The 26,024-nt window shown below is 37.5% G+C and overlaps 1 protein-coding gene and 1 pseudogene across 6 annotated transcripts in view, besides 2 other annotated features; one reads left to right on the top strand and one right to left on the bottom strand.

Moving 5' to 3' along the window:
* Positions 1 to 26,024, bottom strand: part of CSDE1 (cold shock domain containing E1) — a 41,069-nt gene that overhangs the window by 4,069 nt on the left and 10,976 nt on the right. For 2 of the 6 annotated variants that reach the window (NM_001242892.2, NM_001007553.3), the window contains 14 exons: positions 18,708 to 18,906; positions 16,979 to 17,088; positions 16,487 to 16,579; positions 15,774 to 15,871; positions 13,458 to 13,539; positions 13,005 to 13,133; positions 12,748 to 12,873; positions 11,620 to 11,832; positions 9,524 to 9,664; positions 9,274 to 9,438; positions 5,999 to 6,106; positions 5,227 to 5,402; positions 4,237 to 4,349; positions 2,899 to 3,018 (listed from right to left, as the gene is read on the bottom strand). In NM_001242892.2, the coding sequence (NP_001229821.1) occupies positions 2,899 to 3,018; positions 4,237 to 4,349; positions 5,227 to 5,402; positions 5,999 to 6,106; positions 9,274 to 9,438; positions 9,524 to 9,664; positions 11,620 to 11,832; positions 12,748 to 12,873; positions 13,005 to 13,133; positions 13,458 to 13,539; positions 15,774 to 15,871; positions 16,487 to 16,579; positions 16,979 to 17,088; positions 18,708 to 18,906 (1,873 nt within the window). Of the gene's footprint in view, positions 1 to 2,898; positions 3,019 to 4,236; positions 4,350 to 5,226; positions 5,403 to 5,998; positions 6,107 to 9,273; positions 9,439 to 9,523; positions 9,665 to 11,619; positions 11,833 to 12,747; positions 12,874 to 13,004; positions 13,134 to 13,457; positions 13,540 to 15,773; positions 15,872 to 16,486; positions 16,580 to 16,978; positions 17,089 to 18,707; positions 18,907 to 20,542; positions 20,690 to 26,024 lie in introns of all 6 variants that reach the window. The other 4 variants (NM_001242893.2, NM_007158.6, NM_001242891.2 and 1 more) reach the window with 3 other exon arrangements.
* Positions 6,736 to 6,836, top strand: RNY1P13 (RNY1 pseudogene 13; annotated as a pseudogene).
* Positions 19,630 to 19,830: a silencer, noted in NCBI's record as "peak382 fragment used in MPRA reporter construct". NCBI's record gives its function as "represses an SCP1 promoter by STARR-seq MPRAs in K562 erythroleukemia cells {active_cell/tissue: K562}" and the evidence as "EXISTENCE:reporter gene assay evidence [ECO:0000049][PMID:32103011]".
* Positions 21,710 to 21,910: a silencer, noted in NCBI's record as "peak383 fragment used in MPRA reporter construct". NCBI's record gives its function as "represses an SCP1 promoter by STARR-seq MPRAs in K562 erythroleukemia cells {active_cell/tissue: K562}" and the evidence as "EXISTENCE:reporter gene assay evidence [ECO:0000049][PMID:32103011]".

Here is a 26,024-nt window from a genome sequence, read left to right on the forward strand (position 1 = left end):
ATACTGTCATTTACAATCCCATTGCCTAAATTTTAAGCACTATGGGTTGCCAATATTCACAGGACTATCTTCTTCCCAAGTTCACAATATGAGCCAACCAAAAATACTTTTGTCCCATACTCAATGAGCCAGTAAACAACTAGGCGGGCACAGGCAAAAACAATTTAGATAAATTTGACACCCCACCTCCTTTTTTTTTGTTCGAATTCTGGCTCCCTCACATAGGTTCCTTTTTCCAGATCAGAGACCAAAAACCATTTTCCTAAAGGGCCGGAGAGTATTATTTTAGGTTTGCAAGTCATCCTGTCTAACCAACTCTGCTGTTGTAGTGAGAAAGCAACGAAAAACAATATGTAAACAAATGGTTGTGGCTGTGATCACAAGAAAAGGCCACCATATATGCTGAGCCCTGCCCTACAGTATGAAGTTGCCTGGAGCCCGGTGCAGGCTACAGATAAAAACTATGCCAAAGAATTCAGCTGCCTAACAATTTTCAGCATCCAGGCAAATGTACTCAGTCAACAATAGTGGAAAACATGAGAAAAACAGGTGGGAAGCAGAAGCTTCTAACCATCCTCTTGATGATTACAGGGTAAGTGAAGAATTTTTGTCATTGTTATTGTTGAGACAGGGTCTCGCTCTGCTACCCAGGCTGGAGTGCAGTGGCGATCAACGGCTCACTGCAGCCTTGATTTCCTGGGCTCGGGTGATCCTCCCACCTCAGCTCCTGAGTCGCTGGGACTACAGGCACACACCATGACTGGCTAATTTTTGCATTTTTTGTAGAGACAGGGTTTTGCCATGTTGCCCAGGCTGGTCTCAAACTCCTGGGCTCAAGTGATCTGCCCACCTTGGCCTCCCGAAGTGTTGGGTTTACAGGTGTGAGCCACCACACCTGACTTTTTTTTTTTTTTTTGAGACGGAGTCATGCTCTGTTAACCAGGCTGGAGTTCAGTGGCATGATTCAGCTCACTGCAACTTCCGCCTCCCAGGTTCAAGTGATTCTCCTGCCTCAGCCTCTGAAGTAGCTGGGATTATAGGCACCCACCATGATACCTGGCTAATTTTTGTATTTTTAGGAGAGACAGGGTTTCGCCATGTTGGCCAGGCTGGTCTCGAACTCCTGACCTTCAGGTGATCTGCCTGCCTTGGCTTCCCAAAGTGCTGGGATTACAGGTGTGAGCCCCTACTCTCGACCCCAGCTGACTTTTAATTTTAAATACAGGAACCAAAAAACTTTGAGGAGATAATCCAAAGAGATCAAGTCATGGGAAGAGTGATTAGAGGAAGCTGGTCTGACCTCATGCAATATCAATAATTACCATTTATGATGCACATACTGATTCATACTTTATAGAACCATCTAAGGCTGAAGGTATTACCATTTTAAAGATGAAGAAACTGAGCTAGCAAAGATTTAAGTTATTTGTCCAAGATTATATGCTAGAACGGTGTCCAGATCTAGGTCTGCCCAACTTCAAAGTCTTAGTATAAGTTACAGTTGTGTTCCTGAATAAAAGAGCTAGTTCTTACCAAGTGGGAAAATGTAATCTGTCTAGTCCCGGGCTTAGAGATGCCTAAACAAAACCCTTGCTTTGGACTATATCCCACCAGGCTTAGAGATGCCTAAATAAAACCCTTGCTTTGGACTATATCCCACAGCCAGTGCTGAAGAATGAGTGGACTGGGAAGTGGGGATGGAAAAGGAAGTAAAAGCAGCACGTTAGGAGATGGAAGGGCAATTTGATATCATATTATGAGTTAAAGTTAGTAGTCCATACTCCCATGGCCTTTTTAGGGGTGTGATGTCATGGCATTTGTTTAAAAATTCATATTTAGAGGTGGGAGAACAGTGGTTTTATGTAGAACAGAAATTCTAAGAATCCCATGTGGTAAAGGAATAGGTTATCAAGGTTCATTTCCTTCTCCCAAATGACCTGCTATTCAGCACTTTATGTTCGCTGACTCTTAGATGATGCAAGGACTTTATTCTCTTTGTAAACCAAGCCATCATCTTTTCTTTTTAAAATTTTTTTATTATTAGTTTTTTTAATAGTAGAGACGGGGTTTCACCATGCTGGCCAGGCTGGTCACGAACTCCTGGCCTCGTGATCCGCCCGCCTCAGCCTCCCAAAGTGCTGGGATTACAGGCGTGAACCACCACGCCCGGCCTACCAAGCCATCATCTTTGGTTGGAATACTCAAGCCCTCTCATCTACTCCACATCATGTAATTCTGCTATCCTAATCATCTACAGAGTTCTCTCCTATTTCTATCATGTATTTATTTTATGCATACAGATCATACAAAGTTGGCCTTTCTGATGGTGACTGTTGGGGGAACAGCGGCACTGGAACTCTGGGAATTCTTGAAGATAGATGGGGAAAAAAGAAGAAGAAAGTAGAGAATGAAAGGAAGCCTGAGCTAGAAACGAGAAATAGGATCCTCATAGAACTCTAGCTATTAAGAAACAGATTATGTACATATGTGTAGTGTAGGGGGGAAAAAAACAGTAAACTTTTACAGGAAGCAAAAATACAGAACTGAATGCTTACTGATTTAAATACTAATGAAGGAACTGAATATTTGATTATCATACACTCAACAGTAAAAGCTTTGGTTATCAGAGTTTGTTGTTAAGTCTATCTCAATATAACTCATAGTTGCTCATGTATCAGTCATGTGCTCACAAAGCAGTCACGTTTTCACTATTTAAACCCAGACTGACCTCATTTTCAAGGGGTATAAAAATAAAAAGCAAGCATGAGAGAGGTCACTTTTCCTTAATTCAGTTTTAAACCTAAAAACAACTGCAATAAGCACCATATTTTAAAACTTTATAGGTGCTCATCTGAAGTTATGGCAAATTTCAAACAGCCTGATAGTGATGATCCTTACCCTCCTCCACAATCTCAATCATTCCTTGGTACTCAGTCTGTGTTGGATCAACACTCCTCAGGGGGCGAATTACTTTGCCAGAGTAAATGGTGGGATCAGCTTCCTCAGTAATGCCATTCACTACAAAACAAAGGCAGGTACATCTTTCAATTTTATTTCATCTCTACTACATAGAAAGACAAGTAAGCAAAAAATAACAGCACAAATGTTAACAGGGTAGGTTGGCTGGCTGCTATTGAAATGGGGTAGGGAACCTGAAGCCAAGTTCTATTTTTAGAACAGCTGCTGGACTTTAAATACTTCTAAACTACCAAAATGCCTGCTTTTCCTAAATAGAATTGTTTAAATAAAATTGTTTAAGGAATTAATAAGTATTCATAAATAAAACATGCCTTGATCTCTTACTTTTTCCAGGTGACCATATGTCATTTTTTAAGAAGCCTTTCCTGGTCTCTAAAATGTAAATCACAATACTTACATACTGTCCTGATTCATCTTTATTACATGTATTGTTGTCTTTCTAAACATCATATACAGTATTTTACTCCTCTAGTCTGCCCCATATTTTCCACCAAAAAATAAGGTCAATGAATACAGGGATGTATCTGATTTCTTCACTGCTGTATCCCCAGTGTCTAAAACATAACACACACTTAAGAGTTCAGATGAGAGCCAAAAATAAGTTGCAGGTCTTTTAAAGTCAGAGATCCAAGATCCTAAATTACAATTAATTTTTTTAACTTCCCATTATTTTTCACATTTAGATTCATTCTTCTTCAAAACAATCTTCTAGGGAAATGCCTCTCTTCCCTACTCCATGGTGATGTATACATATCTTGGGGTTATTTTTGTTTTTTTCAGACAGTCTTGCTCTGTCACCCAGGTTGGAGTGCAGTGGTAGGATCATCATGGCTCACTGCAGTCTCAACCTACCAGCACAAGCGGCCCTCCCACCTCAGCCTCCCAAGTAACTGTGACTACAGGCATCCACTACCACAGCTGGCTATCCTGGGTTTATTTTTCAAAAGAAGACAATGAATTGAAAATATAAAGCAAATTTCCTAAAATATCTAGGCCAATCCTTCTCAAACTTCAGTGTATACCAGAATCACCTAAAGGATTTATTAAAAAAGAATGCCCACTCACAGAGTTTCAGTGGGTATGGGATAGGGTCAGAGAACGTATATTTCTAACAAGCAACCAGGTGATGCTGCTGTTCTATGGAATCGCACATGAGAATGACTGATGTAGAATAATTAGGCCTCATCTCCCTCTACTACTCCATCCTTTATCTCCCACTTAAAAGCACAGGCTGAATAAGAAGTCACAATTTATTACCTGAGTGTGTTTTGTTCACTTTTTCTGCACTGACTTTGTTGCCTTTGCCTTTGGACAAGCTATACTCGACCATGTCCCCCAGTTCCAGGCTATCAACATCACCAGAGAACTCACTAAGGAGAAAGGAAATGACATTTAACTAAACATTACCATAAACATCAACAGTAACAGGCAGTCTTTATTTTACAGTAACAGTCATGGCATGGCATGCTTATTTACATTAGACACCATTTTAAGTAATTTCTATGTATTGACTCATTTAATCCTCAAGAATGCCCCATGAAGAGGTAACATTATCCCTAACTTCAGGATAATGAAACTAAGATACCAAGAAGTTATTTGGTAAAAATTACACAGGTATAAAGTGGCAGGGCCTGGATTCAAAAACTGAACTGTCTGGTTCTAAGAACCCTTACTTTCTATTTTTTTTTTTGAGACAGAGTCTCACTCTGTTGGCTAGGCTGGAGTACAGTGGTGCGATCTCAGCTTACTGCAACCTCTGCCTCCCAGGATCAAGTGGTCCTCCCACATCAGCCTCCTGAGTTGGTGAGACTACAGGTATGCACCACCATGTCAGGCTAATTTTGGTAATTTTTGTGGAGATGGAGTTTCACCGTGTTGCTCAGGCTGGCCTCGAACTCCTGGGCTCAAGGGATCCACCTGCCTCAGCCCCCAAAGTGCTGGGATTATAGGCATGAGCCACCACACCCAGTCAGACCCCTTACTCTTACACTACATTATACACCAAATGGCCAACTCTATGGTACCAACACAAAAAATAAGGTGGCACAGGCCTTTCTATTTCTTTTGGCCACAGGCTCTGTATATAGTAAGATCAGTGATTAACTTCAGTTTATATCTTGCCATAATTCTACCAATATGAAATCTGAACCTCAACAAGTATAATCAATCAATACTAAATGTTTTTTATTCCAACACCAAAGAATGGATGGTAAGTTAGCTGTAAAGTTCCTGAAAGTCACGCCTTACCTGTAATGGAAAAAGATTTCCTTATCATGATTGGCTGTTTCAATAAATCCAAAATTATCCTTCAGAGTTGCCACATAACCCAAGAGCCTCTTGGAGTTAGAATTACGACCTAAAAGTCGCACACAAGTTGCAACCTGCTGTCCAGGCCTCTGTTTGTCACTAATACTAAATTCAACCTGTGAAAATTAAGGATGCTCATTAACACCATATCACTTCCACACCAATCTCCTTAACTCAGAAAACAAGACCTATAACTCCCCCAGCGCATGCTTTTCATTCCAAATATCCTTTGTTATTACTTCAATGAAATTGATTTTCACCAAAACATTTATGTCTCATCCCACTTTTCACAAAGGATCAAACTTTTATCTTTCAGTCTGTATTCCTTATAGATTCTGAATTTCTCTAGAGGGCTATCCAAAAACCAAACATATTAAGTATGAGAAAAAATGAACAACAACGTAAAATCTTTGGTGTGCTTTTACTTTGATAATGTTTCAGTAGTAACTGTTTTAACTTTCTTACCAATAACGATTTTATTAAGCATGTTTTATCTAACGTTTAAACAGCTAGATTAACAAGGCTTTGATTAACAAAGAGCTTGACAGACACTTTTAATAAGCTGCTTTCAAATACAAGATATTCATGTATTTCTCTTAAACACAAAATATATTTCAGCAAAACTTGATAAAATTTGAAGAACCCATCCTGCAGGATTTATGATTAAGATGACAACTCTTAACCCTCTCTCGAATGAGCAGAATTATCTTGCCTTATCTCCTATTTGAGGAGAAGTAGATCCTTCCACATCCTTGGCTTGAAAAGCAATAGTCAGTTTCACCCCACAGTCATCATAAGCAATAATGCCATCCTCAGCCTCCTAAAGAGATACAGTCAAAAACAGAATGAAAACAATCTCAAGAACAAAAACCAATAAAAACAACTATAGTTCTTACATATTCTTGTGCCAAAGGATTGGTACAGCTGTAAAAATGTCTTATTCCAGCATTTTCTAAAAGATTATTCATATGAATAAAAGGTAGTCTTGCCTTAAGCCTAGCTCAGTCTGCTGTAATTTTTAATTGGTCTTTCAATCTTAAGAATCTAATTTTTGCTATTGAGGAGAAAAAAGCTTACTGAAAATGTTTAATACACCTGCGCTCCTCATAGCCAATCAGAAATTAAACTGGGCATGTTACTTCCAAGGAAGTGGAAATTCTATAAGGGCAAGAAGCTTTAGTATTTCCTAAAGAAGCTGCTGAAGTATCCTCTTTTAGTAGCACACAGCACCTTGCACAGTATTTAATATATAATGTCAATCAATATACTTAACAATGCAGGATAATTTGGTGTATGATCTAGCACAGTTCAAGTACTTGACATAAAGTAGATGATTAAAAATTATGACATACTAGTATTTCAACAATTTTTTTTAATACCAGACTTCAAGGAGAAACAACATTTCAGTCATCGTACGTGTAAGAATGATTAACTCTTAAAAAATCTAAGGGCTGGTCTGAAGGTAGTGGGTTATCTCGATTGTTCAGTCAGTTACAGATCGAACTTCCTTGTTCTCCTCTTTCCCCCCTTCTCACTACTGCACTTGACTAAAAAAATAAAAGTCTAAGAAAGTTCAGGTGTGTCGTATTGAATCACACCGTTAAGTAATGACAGTGTACAGCAACTACATAAATTATACTGATTTTATGGTTTCAACATTTCTATGAAGATAATGCCCATGTCCCTACTCTAGCCCTGACTTCCTTCCTAAACTCCAGTCCTCATTACAAACTACGATATATTCAAAACCAATTCATTTTCCTCTTCTACCAATCACATTCCTTCCATAACTGCTATATAATAATTTATTGAACACTTACAACATTACCAGGTATTATGTATTATCAAATTAATCTTGTACAAAATCATCTCCATAGTTTCTCTTTTCCCTCATTTTACAAATTGGGGAAATCTGAGGAATTAAGTAAACCTTACCAAGGTTACAAAACCCAGCGCAAAATAATCCAGAGGATTTGAGTTTGGTTAAGAACAATGTCAGTGAACTCAGGTCTGACTCCAATGTCATCAACTTTTCCACAACCAAACTCAAAAGCTTACTGTTCACCTTTTGCTCTTAACTCACCAACTTCAACATCAACAGCTGACAATATACTATACATCAAATATATTAAATAGAGATAGGAGAATCCCTGCCCTGAGGGAGTCCAGTGCAGCAGAGACAGATTCATTAACAGGTAAATGTTATATACTGTAAGAAGCATGATGACAGAGGATTTACTAGGGTACTGTTGGACTAAGAAAGAAAAAAAAACAAAAAATGGCAGGGAAAGTCTCACACAAAGGCTCTCTTCATCAAGCCAGTTTTGCCAGACACATTTGGGAAGCAGAGCATTCCAAGAATTAAAAGTTATTAAAAATAAGCCCAACTGAAGTGTATTTTTATTTTTGTTAACAGTATCATCTGTCACATGCGAAATTCCTATTATGAGCTAGGTACTTCGAGGGCTTTTTAAACTATTACACAATCATTTTTGAAATTTAAAAACTGAAGCTCAGAGGTGAAATAATTTCCCAAGCTACAGTAAGTGATAAGCAAGATACTAGCCTTGCTCTTTCTGGCTAATAGCAATTATTAAATTATAACATGACTTTCCAGTATCTCTCATGTACCTTCACTTGTCTATAGTCACTATCTGTGTGCCTAGTTCAAGGACTACCTTAACTATCCAAGTAATTTCATAGTAATCCTTTTCATCTTTTGTCTTTCTCCATCCCATCTAGGCTTCATATTGCTGCCATTACTCTCCCAAAGCACATACCTGATGTCATTATCCAAAAGAAATCTTTTCCTTGAAGTACAGAACAAGGTCTAAATTTTTTTTTTGGAGACGGAGTCTCACTCAGTCGCCCAGGATGGAGTGCAATGGCGCCATCTCAGCTCACTAAAAGCTCTGCCTCCTGGGTTCACGCCATTCTCCTGCCTCAGCCTCCCGAGTAGCTGGGATTACAGGTGCCCACTACTATGCCCGGCTAATTTTTTTGTATTTTTAGTAGAGATGGGGTTTCACCATGTTAGCCAGGATGGTCTCAATCTCCTGACCTCGTGATCCGCCCGCCTCAGCCTCCCAAAGTGCTGGGTTTACAGGTGTGAGCCACCGCACCTGACAATAAGGTCTAAATTCTTTAGAGCAGCAATCAACACCCTCCCAGTCTAGCTGGATCCTGATTTTTCATCCTTATTTCTCCTAACCTCCCTCACCAACAAAAACCCACACACAAAACCAAAAAAAAAAAAAAAAAAATTCCTGTCGGACTAGTTACTCATTGCTTCCTAAAGAAACCCTGAATTTTTCTCATCTATACTTTTACTCTGTGAAGAATGCTCTTTCCTGTCTCCATCTGTTAGTAAAACCATCACATACCCTACCAGTTAATTTTCACCAGAGCACTATCGCTGACCTTCAATAGCAATATTTTATATTCTATATGAATTACTTGTTTCTATAAAACTCTCAATTTGTTATTAACTTGAAAGGAGAATTCATCTCAGACATCTTTCTATTTCCTATTTAGTGGATTTTTCAATAAATGAAATTTAAATGTGTGAACTGAGGATACACCCAACTTTGAAAGTTTTAAATTGCCTGGAAGACAGTACTATCATTTTATATAACTAGTTCTCTACTTGGAATGAGTTTGCCTCCCAGGGGACATTTGGCAATGTCTGGACACATTTTTGGCTGTCACAATGGGAGGCAGGGAAAAGGGGTCAGAATACTAACTTCCAGTGGGTAGAGGCCAGAAATGCTGCTAAACATCCCATCCCCCACAGTAAAGAATCATTCATCCCAAAATGTCAATAATCCCAAGGTTAAGAAACCTTACTTTGTTTAGTTCACTGTTAATATGACAGAAATTCTGAAAGAGACAAACTTCCGCTGATTATATGTACTCTATTACTATGTGCTGTTAAAGCAGAAGAGAAATAAACAGCTACAAAAATCATTTGGATTATGCAAAACCTACCTTCTCTTTGCCTTTATTTGGGCTAGTGGTTTTAGGATTGGAAAAAGTGGCTTCTTTTTCTACCGTGCCCAGAAAACGGTGATCTGAATGGGAATGAAATGAAACCGTGCCCTTGGGAAGTTTTTTAATCCTAATAGCATGATTTCTTTGAGCAGAGAGCATATCCTAAAAATGATAAAACAAAATTAACTTTCAATTGAAAAAGAAAGCATCAAGAAACACCTCCCAACTTTTCTCAGAAACAACTCACAGGAACCACAGTAAACTCTACTTCATCTGCAATATGGAGCTGGTTCCCATCCAGAATTTCACTGAAGTGGAAGAACATACGAACATCACGATCCACACACTTGATGAAACCAAAACCATCTCTCATGGCAGCAATCACACCCTGAAACCCAAATAATATTTTCACTGGCTGTGAAACTTGTCAAGAAGGCAACATTCAACTTTACAACCACCATCAAGTTAAATTCATCAGGAATTTTCTCTGATGTGACACAAATACTGTATCCACATTTGAACTGTTCTCACTTAAGTACAAACTCATTGCTTTCAACAAAGTAACTTAACCTGAGCAATTTTCTAAGACTCTCCAATTGCTACTTCCTGGCAAATATGCACTAGAAAAAATTACCACATGTGAACGTAAACACGTGAACACAATGTATTTCATAAAAGCCCAAGTCTAATGACAATATAATCTCCAGAAACTTCACTAATTTACAGACCATAATTCCAAAGTAGACAAAGGCACTTCTCCAGTCTCTACCTCAAAAATTGCATGAGTTTAGGCCCAGGAAAGAGTTAAAATTTACATCTGAAGAATAAAATATATGCAATCTTTTCTCTTTTTTTTTTTTCCTTCTTACTAAATTATCAGCTTTGTAAGGCTTACTGTATCAAGAGTACCTGGAACATGGTAGATACTCATGTTTAATGAAACAATGAACACAAATTATCAATCTGCTATTGTATTACATACTACATATCTGCTCACTGCAGAAGTGATTCTGTAAGTTTTAAATATGACCTAAACAATATTTTGACATTTAATCCTTGCCAAGTCCTGACAGTAGCCAAGTTATATTTTCCATACCGTAAAGCAAAACAGATCTTGCCTTTGAAAATGTAAAAAAAAAAAAAAAAATCACACATTCAGACTTACAAACTTTTAAAGTTAAATACACTGTGTCAAATACAACCAGTTCTTCAAAGGCAAAGGATTAAAAAAAACTCAAGAAACTTAAATTTTCATTCAATGTACCCAGTTCCACTGGCAACACTGAGTTATAGTGTAGATGATATGATCCCAAACGTAACTAAATGCAAATTATGTCTGAGAAAATGAGTTCATAAAACATGTTTGGGAAAAAATCTGGTTGGTTTATGCCACTCCCAGACACAAACTCTTAAAAAACAATTTGTGAAGTTCTGCCAAAACAAAACCTTTTTGACTCTGGTTTAATTGCAAGCTTGTCCAAACCATGGCCTAGGACAGCTCTGAATGTGGCCCAACACAACAAATTGTTAAACCTTCTTAAAACATGATGAGATGTTTTTGCAATTATTTTTTTGAGACAGTCTTCCTCTGTCACCCAGGTTGCAGGGCAACGGCATGGTATTGGCTTACTGCAACCTCTGCCTCCTAGGTTCAAGCGATTCTCCTGTCTCAGCCTCCTGAGTAGTTAGGATTACAGGTGCCCACCGTCACACCTGGCTAATTTTTCTATTTTTAGTAGAGACGGGGTTTTACCATGTTGGCCAGGCTGGTCTTGAACTCCTGACCTCAAGTGATCACCCGCCTCAGCCTCCCAAAGTGCTGGGATTACAGGTGTGAGCCACCGTGCCTATGATTTTTTTTTTAAAAAAGCTCATCAGCTATCATTGCTGTTAGTGTATTTTATGTGTGATCTAGTGTCTAGATCATGGGTGTTCAATCTTTTGGCTTCCCTGGACCACACTGGAGGAAGAATTGTGTTTCCTAAAAACAGAAACCACTAATTAAATGTCTTAGGAAATAGTTTGGGAAAATCTACTTTCTACAATGATGAACTTGAATTTTCTTACTCTTCATATTAAGGGCCTGAGAATCACTGACTCTAAAAATATCTTAGTAATCCTGTCCAGATTTCCATTCAAAAAATTTTTTCACATATATTTCCAAGATAACTGCCAGAGATAACCCAGACTGACTCAAATGTGTATGATTCTTAATCACCTTAACAAGGTAAATGCCCATTAGGGTCATTTAACTTAAGAAAAATTTTAATTTAGTAGTATAAACTTGAATATAACATTGGCTTTCGCATATTAGATACATATCCAGTAATATCCAACACTTACCATTTCTCGGGCTTCATTAGTGAACTGAAATGTATTTGACAGAACTTCTATATTGGTTGCTCGCTCTAATTTGTCACGTCGGTCTGTTGAAATATTAAACCTAACATGGTCACCTTCCAGCAGGGTCACCTTGGATTTCGTATCTTTGTCTCCAAAGGGAAGTTCTTTAGGGATCACAAAGTCAACTTTGATGCGTCCTGGCAATGGGTCATTCTGATGAGAAGGAAAAACGATTTTAGCTGGAGATTTCTCATCCTTCCTAGTTCTAAGTCAAACAAGAAGAACACATAGTAAACCCATGTTATTTTTAACTTAGTTCCCTGAAGCGAAAAAAGGTGTTGACAACATAAGTCCAATGTGAAAGCTTCATGGTCTATGGTCACACGAGTCAACCATAAAATTACAACAATGCAATTAAGACCCAGCACTCTGGTACCAAAAGATTTTATTTAAGGAATTTTTCCAGGAATGACACCACTTGTGTCCTCACCTTCCCCACAAACTGGAGGGGTAGGGCAGGGGCAGAGGAGGGAACAAATGTACACCTGAACTGCAGTCTAATCCAATCAGGTGCTTTCCAATTTAATTAGCATTTTCTTCTTTGGCCTTTTTTCATCACCCAGTAAAAAAAAATACATATTTGGCTGGGCGAGGTGGCTCATACTTGTAATCCCAGCACTTTGGGAGGCCAAGGTGGACAGATCGCAAGGTCAAGAGATCGAGACCATCCTTGCCAACAGGGTGAAACCCCGTCTTTACTAAGAATACAAAAATTAGCTGGGTGTGGTGGCATGCCCTTGTAGTCCCAGCTACTTGGGAGGCTGAGGCAGGAGAATCGCTTAAACCCGGGAGGCGGAGGTTGCAGTGAGCCGAGATCGCGCCACTGCACTCCAGCCTGGCGACAGAGCGAGACTCTGTCACAAAAAAAGAAAAAAAAAAAAAAAAACACCATATTTATGAATATATAAATCTGGTTTCTCTTTTAGTTTAAATATACGTAACAAGAGGTCCTTAGTTGTTCCACTACCACATTATATTAACTGAATAAGATAAAATCTCAGTATACCACACCATATTATTCTATTACTACTGAGGCGAAATAGGACTCTCCTGAAAAAGATTATTTACCTGGTTTTTACTGGGTACTTTTGGGATAACTTTGGTTACAGTTCCTTCAAAATGTTCAATGCTGATATCTTCAAAAATGACTGTTCCTTGAGGCAATAGTCTGACATCTGTTGCAACTTCTTTACCCTAAATCAGAAGGGGTTGGAGGTGGTGGGGGGACAGAGGAAGGAAGAATCACATAATTTTAAGTGTTTCTTAAAAACATAAACCAACTCTGATCTTAAAAGGCCAAAGATCAAGTTAACTGACTGTCTTACATTTCTGTCCTTGATTGTGAATTCCACATCATCGCCAGGCTGTAAGGTTTCTAAGTCACCCTTAAATTCACTATAGTGAAAGAATATCTCTTTTACAACATCACCTCTTTCAATAAAGCCAAATGCCTCCTGAAGCAAAATAAAAAACCAAGAACATTATTACCACTCTGTACAAATTTATGATTACAACTTAAAACCAGTAATTTTTGTAAAATTATACTGTAGTCACAATAATATAATTTGGTACAACCTAATATTATCAATTAAACAGCCAATTTTAAAGAAGATAATGTATTAGCAACCAAGGAATTTTAAGAGACTACTTTTGAGGTTAACAGTGAAATATTTTAAAAGGGTAAGATAAAAAAGAAAAAAAAAAACAAAGGCTGGAGTTTGAAGTACAACATTTCAAGTGGCCAAAGAAAACTCAAGTTTCTCAAATTTAACACTTACCTTCATGGCACAAACTACTCCCTGACAGCGGGCTTGTTTCTTTTTCAACAGCATAATGTTGCGAGCACTTACAGCACCAGTACTAGAAAAAAAATAATTGCAGGGAGGAGGAATGAAACAGGGATTAAAAATGTATTGGCCTGCTTAGATATGAGTCTAAAGAAACTAGTTTCCTGGGGCTTTAAGAATTCTATCATCACTAAGAATAAATACAGGGTTTATGACATTTGATTATTTTCATATGGCTTTATATGCAAAGGACTTTAACTCCTTAGCCTTCTACGTTTGGCAAATATATATATAGGTCATCTTTCTCTGGGACTGTTGTTGGAAGATTTGCTTTTTTACAAACTTACACATGGGTGCGTGATGTTCTACTCTGTTTTTCTATTTCAACAAAATAACTGAAATAAAGCCACAAAGCGAATGCTACCAAAGGTGGGGAATACTAAAGTCTTATAAAGGTTATTCATTAAACAAACATTTGTGTAGGTATAATCTGCGGCAAAGTAAGGTACTGGTGATACAGAGATAAATAGGAGATGGTCTCTATTTTCAGTGAGTGCTAAATTTAGTAGCTATCTCATTAATTATTTCTGAGTAAACAGCCATAAAAGTTGAGTAAATGAAGTGACTTTAAGAGAACTTGCTATGCTTTTAAAAGTAATGATATCCACCTCCATTGGAGAATGGAAACAAGTTAGAGACACCACATGTTGCTTTTATGCCTTCATATTTGTGTAGCAGCGATGTAAATTCAATTTTGTTTTTAAGATAACATAGACTGTATAAGACATAATGGTACTGTTAGTCTAAATGTTTTAAGAAAAGACCTATACACCAAGCAATTACTTCCCTTAATTTTTCACAGACAAATAACCCAAAATGTGCTTTTTATTTAAAAAAATGTTACAGACTAACAAAGACACCAGAAAAATTCTACCTGTTTTTGTAACTTACTGCAGTGAAAACGCTTTAGAGTCAGATGGGAATTTAAATGCCTGCTATTTAAAAGCAGTATGAACATCGACAAGTAACTTTGTGAGAACTTATACGTCATTTTACAGATGAAGAAACTTACCAGGTAAGGCTGTTCTGAGATTAACAACTATATAAATTGAGGCCTTCAGACTGTAACTAATAATAACCACACCTACAACACAATCTGATTCCTTCAAGGCTTGCCAAGAAAGAGATAAGGTTCAAGGCAGATAATCCCAGACATGCTCTTAGGACTTTTCCCTCCACATGCTACTGGAAGGTACATTACTAGCACTTTCTCCAACTTTCTATTTTAATTTCCTTCTCCTCTTGCATCTCTCATCTCTCCTATGCCAAGATAAAAATAATATTCTCCCTGGGCTTTCTTAACTACATTTTCCTTAACTGTGTATGCTGATGAATTCTACAGCTCTATATACTTCCCCTATAGGCAGGAAATAGACCTTAGACTTAATAGGTCTAAGTCTCAGACCTATACACGCAACTGTAGATTTGATATCTCTACCCAGATATATCACAAACATCTCACACTCAAAAATTGCCAAGATAAGTATGATTCTTTTCCCACCTTGAACATTCTCCTTATGTCTCCTTAGCCCAGTTTATGGTACCATCATCTGCCCAGTAGGCCAGGCCAGAAAAACAGTATTTGGGACTCCCTTTAATTCCAACCCCACCTTTATCAAATCAATTAAGATTGATGATTCTATCTTCTCAATATGACTTGACTCCTCCACCCCATCCTCTTAGTCTATCCATATCAGGCGGTCATCTTTCACGTTAACTCTCACATCACTGCCTCTGGTCAACAGCATCCCCACCTTTCAAAAGTCTACCACTTCCACCACCTCCAAAGATCTAAACCAATCACACTTCCTTGTTTTAAACAACGCAGATTCCTACATAGAAGAATGCTCAAACTTTACCTTCTGGTCAGTTCGACCAAACTTTTGGCCATTTTCCCCCAACATGTCATGATACTTCTAATCATAATGCTTTTTTCTCACCTCTCTATAGTGACTATACCCCTCCCTCAAAACTTACCTCAAAGCACTATTTTTTGAAAAACCTTCACTGATCTCTAGAACAAGTCCTTAAAATGCCTAACAATGTTTTAATTATCATCTTCCTCTGAGACCCTGCATCATGGCTGTAATACAATATTCATAGACCTCAAAGCATTAGTTGATGAATTGAAAGTTCATGAAAACTATCCAGACTTACAAGTTAGGTTTTTAACTCTATTCAAATTTCTTAATGGAGGGGGGAAAAAAAAACCGCTTAGGTGAGAAAATTTAAAAAAAAAGAACTTACTGTTTATTGTTATCAATTACAAAGTTTATTTTATCTCCAGTTTCCAGCTGAACGTTCCCTTCGACATCTTCAGGGGTGTAAGTCAGATAAAACACTTCCTGTGAATTAATAAATCATTATTACTATTTTGGCAGGATGCATATTCACTGTATACTGTGATTTACTTACTTAAAAACCTCTTATACTGGCATTTTAAGCCAAATTTCTTAAAATTAAATGCTTTATGACAAGTCACTTTATTCATATAAACACACACTTCCCCTCCATGGTGCTGATGACTTCTGCGAGTCCACAGCTGAGCAGCAATCCAACTTCAAAAAGCTTACACACGTGGAAGCATTTGCCCAGAGACTATAGTTACATTTCAAAAAAACAATTTTATATAAGGCATTCCAAACAAAAAAAGCTGGTGTTAGTGCTTAAAAGAAACCAGAAAAAGATCCCCCCCACAACCCCCAAAAAAGTGATTAAAAGGAACATTTTACCTTAATGTTCTAACTAAGGTCATACTTGGGCAAACTAAGACACTTGGAAGTCCTATGGAATTTTTCTTTTTAAATTTTTTGATTATGCTGCATTTGAAGCCTCTTAGAAACCAAATTTAAAACTGATTTTAACAATTGCAGCTTACGTTTTCTATTTTGAATTTTAAAGTACGCTTATAGATCACATGGTGGATCAGGCAAAGGTTTAAGAAAAATACACAAGTTTACCCCATTACGTTCGTAGCATACACTCCCTGTTGGACTCTGACCCGGGGCAGCTGGAGATTTACTCTCTAAGTTGTGAGGAACAGCGCACACAACCTACCAGTCAAAAAAAAAAAAATTTCCATTGCTAATCATTTCAGGAGCAGCACTGTGCAATATAAACTGAATTTTAATATCCTCTATACTATATACAGGGATGCATTTTAATATGATCCACAAGAGGATGTCATGCTGCCAAGTTTCAAACTTACAGTATGTAAATTGACTGTAAGCATTGACTCAGGGTTATATGTAAAAACCCAATTGAGTCTTGACCATATTTTTATTTCAGGTCAAGAAATGCCAGTGCTTTTGATTAATTTTAAAATAGTAATCTTTATATACTATAGCTCTCTTTCGTGCAAACTGAGGAGATGGGGAGAATCTTCCTTTTCTAATGTGAAAGATATGCAAATGCAGGGCCCTAAAAAAACACAAAGCATCAAAGTCACTAACTTGTCCATTCATTCGTTCTTCAGGGAGGATTTCTTGTTTTATCTTCACCAGTTTAACAGCAATGGGTTTCCCAGTCCGTCGGTCCGATGATACTTCAAATTCAACATCATCTAAAAATAAATAATGTGTTATGTTTGTTGAACTGATTTTTGCGAAACGATATATTGCTTCCAAGCTATACTTAACATAGCATTTGAATTGCCTTAGACCAGTGGTTTTCAAAGTGTGGTCCCTGGACCAGCAGCATTAACATCACCTGGGAGCTTAAAAGAAATACTGGGCCTAACTCTAGTCCTAGCCAAAGACAAACTCTGGGGATCAAGTATAGCAATCTGTGTTTTAACAAGCCTTCCACTAATTCTGATACACACAAATGTTTCAGAACCACCATCTTATGCTAAGATAGCCATGTCTTAATCTTAGTTTTTATGGCATTTACACATACTACAAATGAGATGACTTAACAATCATAACCTTTGGCGAGTTTTTTTTTTAAACTCCTCTGTACCTCAGTTTTCTCTTATGTAAAAGGAGAATAATTCCTAACAGGACTGCCATGAGGATTAACCAAAACAATGTTCCTATAGCATGCATCTTGTTAGCTATTATACTGACTCTTTTCTCAAACGTTTTTTAAAAATGCACAGAGGCCTCATAATTTCAGTCCTTTAGTAAGCCAAACACTTCACATGTAAAAACTTTTTTTTTTTTTTTTTTTTTTTTTTTTTGAGACAGAGTCTCCCTGTCACCCAAGCTGGAGTGCAGCGGCACGATCTCAGCTCACTGCAACCTCTACCTTGCGGGCTCAAGCGATCCTCCCACCTCAGTCTACTTAGTAGCTGGGACTACAGGCACATGTCACGTTCCTCAGCTAATTTTTGCATTTTTTGTAGAGATGGGGTTTTGCCATGTTGCCCAGGCTGCAAGCTGGTCTTGAATTCCTGAGCTCAAGCAATCCACTTGCCCTGGCCTCCCAAAATGCTGGGAATACAGGCATGAGCCACCATGCCAGGCCTGTGAAATAATTTGTATGGTGTCAGCCACAATGAATTTCCATATAATCTAAGAGGTGACTTTTTTTTTTTTTGAGACGGGGTCTCGCTCTGTCGCCCAGGCTGGAGTGCAGTGGTGGCATCTTGGCTTACTGCAAGCTCCGCCTCCCAGGTTCACACCATTCTCCTGCTTCAGCCTCCCGAGTAGCTGGGACTACAGGTGCCTGCCACCACGCCCAGCTAATTTTTTGTATTTTTAGTAGAGACGGGGTTTCACCGTGTTAGCCAGGATGGTCTCTATCTCCTGACCTCGTGATCTGCCCGCCTCGGCCTCCCAAAGTGCTGGGATTACAGGCGTAAGCCACCGCGCCCAGCTTCTAAGAGGTGACACTCTAAGGATTACTTTTTTCAGGTACTACCCAAAATAGTACCTGACAGAATAATCATAAGTAACATTACAAAAGTTCAATATTCGTACTGGCTTAAAATCTTACGGGTAAACAGTCATCATTATGGGGAAAAACAATGAAATCTTCCAAGCATTTATTGTAAATATATGCAAATATAATCTTTCAAGGATTCTGCTGGTTTATACAGATATTCTTCACTAAACAGTACAACTAAAAGTCCAAAATGTTTTAATTTACATAAAACTTTTTGAAAAACACTCATGAACAAATTGATATGCAAGACAAATTTTGTGATTACATTTTTACAAAGGAGAACTGACAGATTACCTCCTACTTTTAAGTCTTGCAGGTTGCCATTATACTGTGAACAGTGGAAGAAAAGTCTAGCTTGACGTTCTGAACACTGAATAAATCCGTAAGAGGTTAACAGTTTTTCAATAACCCCAGTTTCACGCAGTGCTGCTGAAGTACCATTAGGGTACCCATTATGTCCATTGTTGTGGAGAAGGTTTGGATCAAAGCTCATCTGTTTTAAAAAGAAAAAGAATATATACATATCTGTACATTATCTCCATAGCATATTAAGTCTGGTTAATAAGTCACTAAATCTTCCATATAAAAACGCAAAAAAAAGTAAAATGAAGGGAAGATTATAGACTTTATTACTGCAGCATTAATTTAGCTAATAAAACATTTCAGAGGAAACAACTTATTATATTGGGGAATTGCCCCAAATTATGGTAGAATTTCCACTTATCAGACAAAAATAGAATTTCTGGGGTTTAATATTAAGGTATAGCAACTACATTAGCAAATGCTGCCTTTACATGAAGTGAAAATTACTAAAACAACAATTTCAGAACAAAGGTAATTAATATTAAGAGACAGCGACCACAAACTACCAAAGACTCTTAAGAGATTTGGTAACGCTATTTTGAAACTTCAGCCAATACCTTAATACTGTTTAGTAAGTCATGCATTTGGAAGGCATATTTCAAGTTAGTAGAGATTAACACAATAAAATGAACTTTCTATGCAATACTTAAACTAGAAAATTTCAGAGTAATTCATGCTTAGGTCCTTTAATGAAAGACTATCCAAAATAGTGCAGTAGAAAACTTCTGAAACAACAAAACTCCAAGACAGCAAAAGCATTTCCATTTTAAAAATGCTGAATCATTTCACAGGTACATTTAAAGAAATCTTTACCTAAAAGAAACCCTTCACTTTTTACATACTGATGAAATCTGTAACTATCACTTCGTTCCCATTCTTTAGTGAAATAGGAGCTATTTAAAAGCAATATAATGGAATCTGCCTAGGTCATAAAATACTATCACATTGGATGTTCCATTTCCCTTCTTTGAGTAAAACAACAAAAACTATAAGTGAAGCACAAAACAGGACGAAATCCTTAGCAAAGCCTAGGTCTATAATTTACCACAGTAATGACATTTCTAAATCATTACAATTATGTTTTAGACCCTTTCACTGAAAATCTGATTTATAAGTATTTCCATTTAAGTGGAATGTTGGGCATTATTAATAAAAAGGATATATTTTCACTAGGAAAAAAGAGTAACAAATTCTAGAAAGATAAACCAAAGTTTGAGTCAACGATATGTGTGATGGTCAAATCACGTAAATCAAAGCCACCACACCTGTAGGTGGTTACGTCCTAATTCTTCTACACTAGCCACTGTTCTGTGTTTAACATATATTAACTCATTTAACTTTCACAAAAGCCCACAAGAAAGTATTGTATTCGCCTCATTTTACCAATGAGAAAACAGACACAGAGAAGTTAAATGACTTGCCAAAGTCAAATAGTAGAAGATTCAAACCAAGAAGGTCTGGCTGTAAACCAGGGCTTCTCAAATGAGAAGTTAAAATATAAAATCAGACTCAGTAGGTATGGGGATTTGAAATTTTCCATCTTTATTAAGATCCAAGGTGATAATAATGCTTCTGATTCTTAGATATACTTTGGGCAGTAAGACCCTAATCTACTGAAGTTATCTTTCAAGAGTGAAGGTGAAAAAAATGATTCGGGAAGTTAGAAGGTGAGTCGGCAAGATATTTCAACCAGAATGAGTGGCAATCCTAGGTCATGCTCTTAACACAAAGCAAGGTAAGCTGAGATGACTGCTTTCCTGACTTACAGATCTCTGATAAGTTGGGGTCCTCTTTTGTTTTTTAGTCCCAGATGAGGTAGAAGATGAAGATAAGGGTAAAGAAAGTGAAGGAGGGGCTGCAGGAGAGGGATGAGGATCTGATGACACAGTAAAAACGTTCTCCATCTCAAACAGCTGTTATAACATAGCATAATGTTGATAACTATGATCAATAACAATTTAATGCACATTTCACAGTCAATATATATTTTTAGCTTGGGTTTAGCGAAATATAAATTAGATTTCTATTGACAGGAAATACATAGAATTAACATTACTATAAAAGGTGAAATGTATTTTTTTTAAAGCCATTAAAACATACGATGACATCAACAATTCTGAAAATGCCACAAAGACTCTTGATGGTTGTTGGAGTGAGACTATTCAGTCCAATTTCTTTTCAATGCCGATCAACTTTAAATAGAACCTATCATTTTTAGTCACTAGTCTCCCTAGAGTACACACTGATAACCCAATGGGGTGCAGAAGAAAATAACTGGGACTATTTTTCTGCCCAGAGATAAAAATGAGCTTTTATAAATATTTACTATGTATTTATAGTCTAGGTTTCACCGAGTTGGTATGTCAGATGGTCTATGAGTATCATGTATTACTCAGGTATTCTGAGGAAAGAGTGGAGAACTCCAAAAGAGGCCAACAGTGAAGTCCTCACTCATTTGCTCTTACCGTATTACCGTATGCCCGATAAGGAGATATATAAATTTAGTTATCTAGTGTAACTAAGCTACCTTCACAAATAAGACAAATGAGGCCGGATGCAGTGGCTCACACCTGTAATCCCAGCACAGGGAGGCCGGGGTGGACATGAGGTCAGGAGTTTGGGACAAGCACGGCCAACATGGTGAAAGCCTGTCTCTACCAAAAATACAAAATTTAGCCAGGCATGGTGGCATGGGTCTGTAGTCCCAGCTACTCAGGAGGGGGAGGCATGAGAATTGCTTGAACCCAGGAGGCGGAGGTTGCAGTGAGCCGAAATTGTGCTACTGCACTCCAGCCTGGGCAACACAGCAAGACTCCATCCCAGAAAAACAAAAAAGCCCAAATAGACAAATGGTTGAAAGATTCCCGCAGAAGAACCTCAGATGGAAGATAAGGCAAGCACATGCAAAGAGCAAGGGAACTGACATTTCTATTCCTAGTACTAGTTCTTCAACCTCCACATTAAGAAACCATCTAACGAGATATGGTAAGTATGCCAAACAGTTAAGATCAAGACTATGACATGGACTTAAATTAGTTGCAATACAACACACAAATGTAGATTTCCCTGATACTAATTCATGATATTATAAAGCTTTTTAAAATTAAACACTTAAAAACCAGCAATCCAGAACATAGTATTTCTAACAGAACATTTCTGCACAAGTAAACTTTTTATAATATCCCTCACTTCACATTTTTCCTATTTGTACCACTGTGTTTTACAATGCAGACACAGAATTATAATTACACAATTTGTAAACATATACACATATCGAAAATACATGTTTTTAACTGACAAGCAGTATAAAATTAACTTGAGAACCATTATTCTAGATCACTGAGGGACTTTCAAGCTGTGCTTCTTTCATGTTTGTTTGTTTATTTAATTAATTAATTTATTTTTGAGACACAGTCTTGCTCTGTCACCCAGGCTGAATTAATTTATTTTTGAGATGGAGTCTCGCTGTCACCCAGCCTGGAGTGCAGTGGTACGATATTGGCTCACTGCAACCTCTGCCTCCTGGGTTCAAGTGATCCCTCTGCCTCAGTCTCCCAAGTAGCTGGGACTACAGGTGTGCGCCACCAAACCCAGCCAAATTTTGTATTTTTAGTAGAGACGGGGTTTCACCATGTTGACCAGGCTGTTCTCGGAACTCCTGACCTCAAGTGATCCGGCCCCTGCACTGCGCCCTGGCCTCCCAAAGTGATGGGATTACAGGCGTGAGCCACTGCACTTGGCCTCATGTTTAGACTATAGTTCTGATTACTATTAAACAAGAACACAATGATATGATCTGAAATATATATGCCTTAAAGCTGCAAAATATCCCCATTCTCAAGTCTCCAATCCTGCCACACATCACTGCAGGTAGGAGATAGAAATCCTCTTTTTCTCACCCAAAGGGAGACTGAACCAGAATTAGAAAGCATCAAAGCTAGCATTTTAAGACTCTAAGTTGTTCCCCAACAAGAATGTTGGAATCTGGGCTCTACTGTTCGAGTCTCCGTCTCATCCCTAGACACATACCAAAAGAGTTGAAAAAGCCTTCCCCTTCTCCCAGAATCTTTGCTGACTAGAGCTCTCTTTCCCTAGCCTTTATCCATTTGGAGGAAGCCTTTATTTTATTTTTCCAAAGGGAAACACACCACTCAAACAACTTTAGATAAGTTGATGTGACATGTGACATGTTAATACTTTTCAAAGAATTCCTAATAATTTGGCTAAACTATATTTTAATGGCATTGCAAATATTTCTTAATCAGCACCATCAAAAAACAAGCAAAATGGAAGTTATCACAAAAACAATTACATGAAAGTATAGGACAAATGGAAGTAGATAATTTAACAGAACCTTGTTTATAAAAAATTAAAGATGCTAACAAAGGTGGTGGTAGGAAGGACCCAGTAGGTAAATGTTACTTGACTTCTTCTTTAAATAGGGGGGAAAAAAATCCACAATTTAGTTGCTTGCCTAACAGCATGTAAAAATGTATTCAAATGAACCGAGTTTAATGTCTTAAAAAATATTTAAAAACCAGCCAGGCTCAGTGGTTCACGTTTGTAATCCTAGCACTTTGAGAGGCCGAGGTGGCAGATCACCTGAGCCCAGGAATTTGAGACCAGCCTAGGCACATGGCAAAACCCTGTCTCTACAAAAAAATACAAAAATTAGCCAAAATTAGCTGGATGCCTATAGTTCCAGCTACTCAAGAGGCTGGGGTGGGAGGTTCACCAGAGCCTGGGAGGTCAAGCCATGATCCTGACACCGTACTCCAGCCTGGGTGACAGAGTGAGACCCTGTCTCAAAACAAAAACAAAAACAAAACAACAAAAACAAACAAACAAAAACCCCAAAACATACACACACACCCCCATGGATGAGTATATTTGTAAAATCTTTGCAAGGGCGGAACTTTCTAGATTTGAAATCAATTAAAAAAAAATCACAAGGGACTGATATCTGATTATACAAAAAGCACAAGCTTTTATACTCAAACCTGGGGGAAAAGTGTAAATACACCAGAGTAGATAGGGCAAATCAGTACAATTAAATTACCAGAATATAAGCTTCTTGAGGGGCAGAACTTTCAATTCAAAGCTAAATCCCTAGATTTTAGATAAACAGTGCCTGGCACAGAGCAGGCACTCATATGTTGAATTACTGATTAAGTGAGCAAATAAATCATTCTTGAATATCAATTATTAAACTTTATACACAAAAGCTAAAACATTAAACATTAAAAAAAAACTTGAATTTTTGCAATAAAAAATCCAGATAAAGCAAATTAATACTTTCATATACCAAACTAGCAAAGACGTAAGATTTTAAAATAATGAAAAAGTGAGCTAAGAACAACACACACACCACTTTTATGGTAGTAAATTGGTACAACCTTTTAGAAATGCAATTTAGCAACATGTATCAAAATGTGGAGATATTTTTCTTAATAACTGCATTGCAGAAAAGCTCTCCTGGGGAAATCTGAAATGTGAAAAAAGCTTTATACACAAGTATTTTAACAAATATATTTTTGTAGCAAATTCCTGGAAATAATATAAAGTCTAACACACTTTATAGCTCAAGACGTCATTGTAACTTATGTAATGCTATGTGGTCATTGGAAACAATATGTGGAAAATGCTTATTCTGTAATAGGAAATGAGACATAAGATATTTATACAGTATGATTTCAAATGTATTTAAAGACCAGAAAATCTAATGTTCACAGATGAGAAAACACTTAGCCATCTTAAGGGCACAGCGCTAAAAATGGCAAATGTGGGAACAGAATCCAGTTCTGACTCCATTCTTAACCACTGCCTTATTCATTCAACCACAATTAAGTTCATACAATGCATCAGCATTATTTTAGGTTCTACTCATATAGTAGGTAACACAACAGACAAATATCTCCAGCCTCATAAAGTTTAGACCTTCTACCCTTTTCTACATATTTACTTTTAAACTGAAAAAGTCATTGACAAAATTAGTCCTCCTTTAATAAAAGCAGAAATGGAACAAATCTCAGGTCAAATTTAAACTTCATTTGTAACTCAAGAAATTGATTAAAGTTCCCTGAAGAACATAAAAGTCAAAAGACTGGCTTTCAGTCCTGACTCTCAAGTACTTTTAACATCTCTGGGATTTTTTCCTCAAAAGTAAAGTGGGAGCACCTAACTGGTTTCCAAGTTCCTTTGGGGAGAGGGGGTGGAAATCTATGCTTTGTAATTTATTACAACATCTAAGTTGTTTTTCCCCCCTAATCTGGTCTGCTTGGCTTCTACTGATTGACAATCAATTTGGAAAAGGTAGCCTATTTCACCATAAGATCTTTAGAAAACTACTCTGTATTCTCAGACATACCTCCCCTTGACTTCCACTGTTTCTTCCAATTTTCTGAACACAACCATTTTTAACACTAATTGCTGTCTTCTGGATAGGTTCTAAGTAATTATTCATTAAAGTGCATTTCACTACTATTCTTAATGTACCCGACCAATATAAAGTACTGAGTGATTACACTCCTTGATTCTGTAGACTGAAGTTTTATAACTTTGTAAAACTAAAACACATCCCCATCATTTCTTCACAAATCACATTAGCGAAATCAGGTTTTCTTTCAGTTCCTCCGTAATGGATCGTTTGTTCCCAAATAAAAAAACTATAACCTAATGCTTTTAAAATGCCTTCTGTTGGTTAATCTAGTATTCCAATTTGGTGACTAATTTTAAATTATCAGACTCTTTGTAGTTTATCTTTTAATCATTCATTCTCCTACCTTAACACCTGTCTCACAGAGTTGTTGAGATGGTTAAATGAGTTGCTGCACGTAAAAAGCCTAAAATAAGTGCTTACGTAGCACATAGGTACTCACAGAACTACTCATTAGGTCTCTGAAAAAAGCAGGGCGAGGATAGCATCTGGCAGCATACACCTGGAGACTTCTCTAAAATCAGTCTCTTACTAACTGCTATCCATCCAACATTTCTCCATATTGACCATTATGCTATCATGAGCTAGTCTGCCAAGTTATTTATTCACTGGCTCTGGGGTTTTTGCTAGGGATGAAAAGTAAGCTCAATAGTTCCCACATCTGACTGAAAAATCAGGACATTTACAGTTCCTGTCATAGGTCTCTATTTGACTACTATCACACACCTAGCAACTAGCACCCTAGCAACCGCCAAGTAATCCTGTTATTTTCTCACTCATCTGGGGCCTCAGTTTTCTCTTGCTTTGCTATG

This window comes from Homo sapiens, chromosome 1 (assembly GCF_000001405.40).
Source record: "Homo sapiens chromosome 1, GRCh38.p14 Primary Assembly".
NCBI classification, from domain to species: Eukaryota; Metazoa; Chordata; class Mammalia; order Primates; family Hominidae; genus Homo; species Homo sapiens.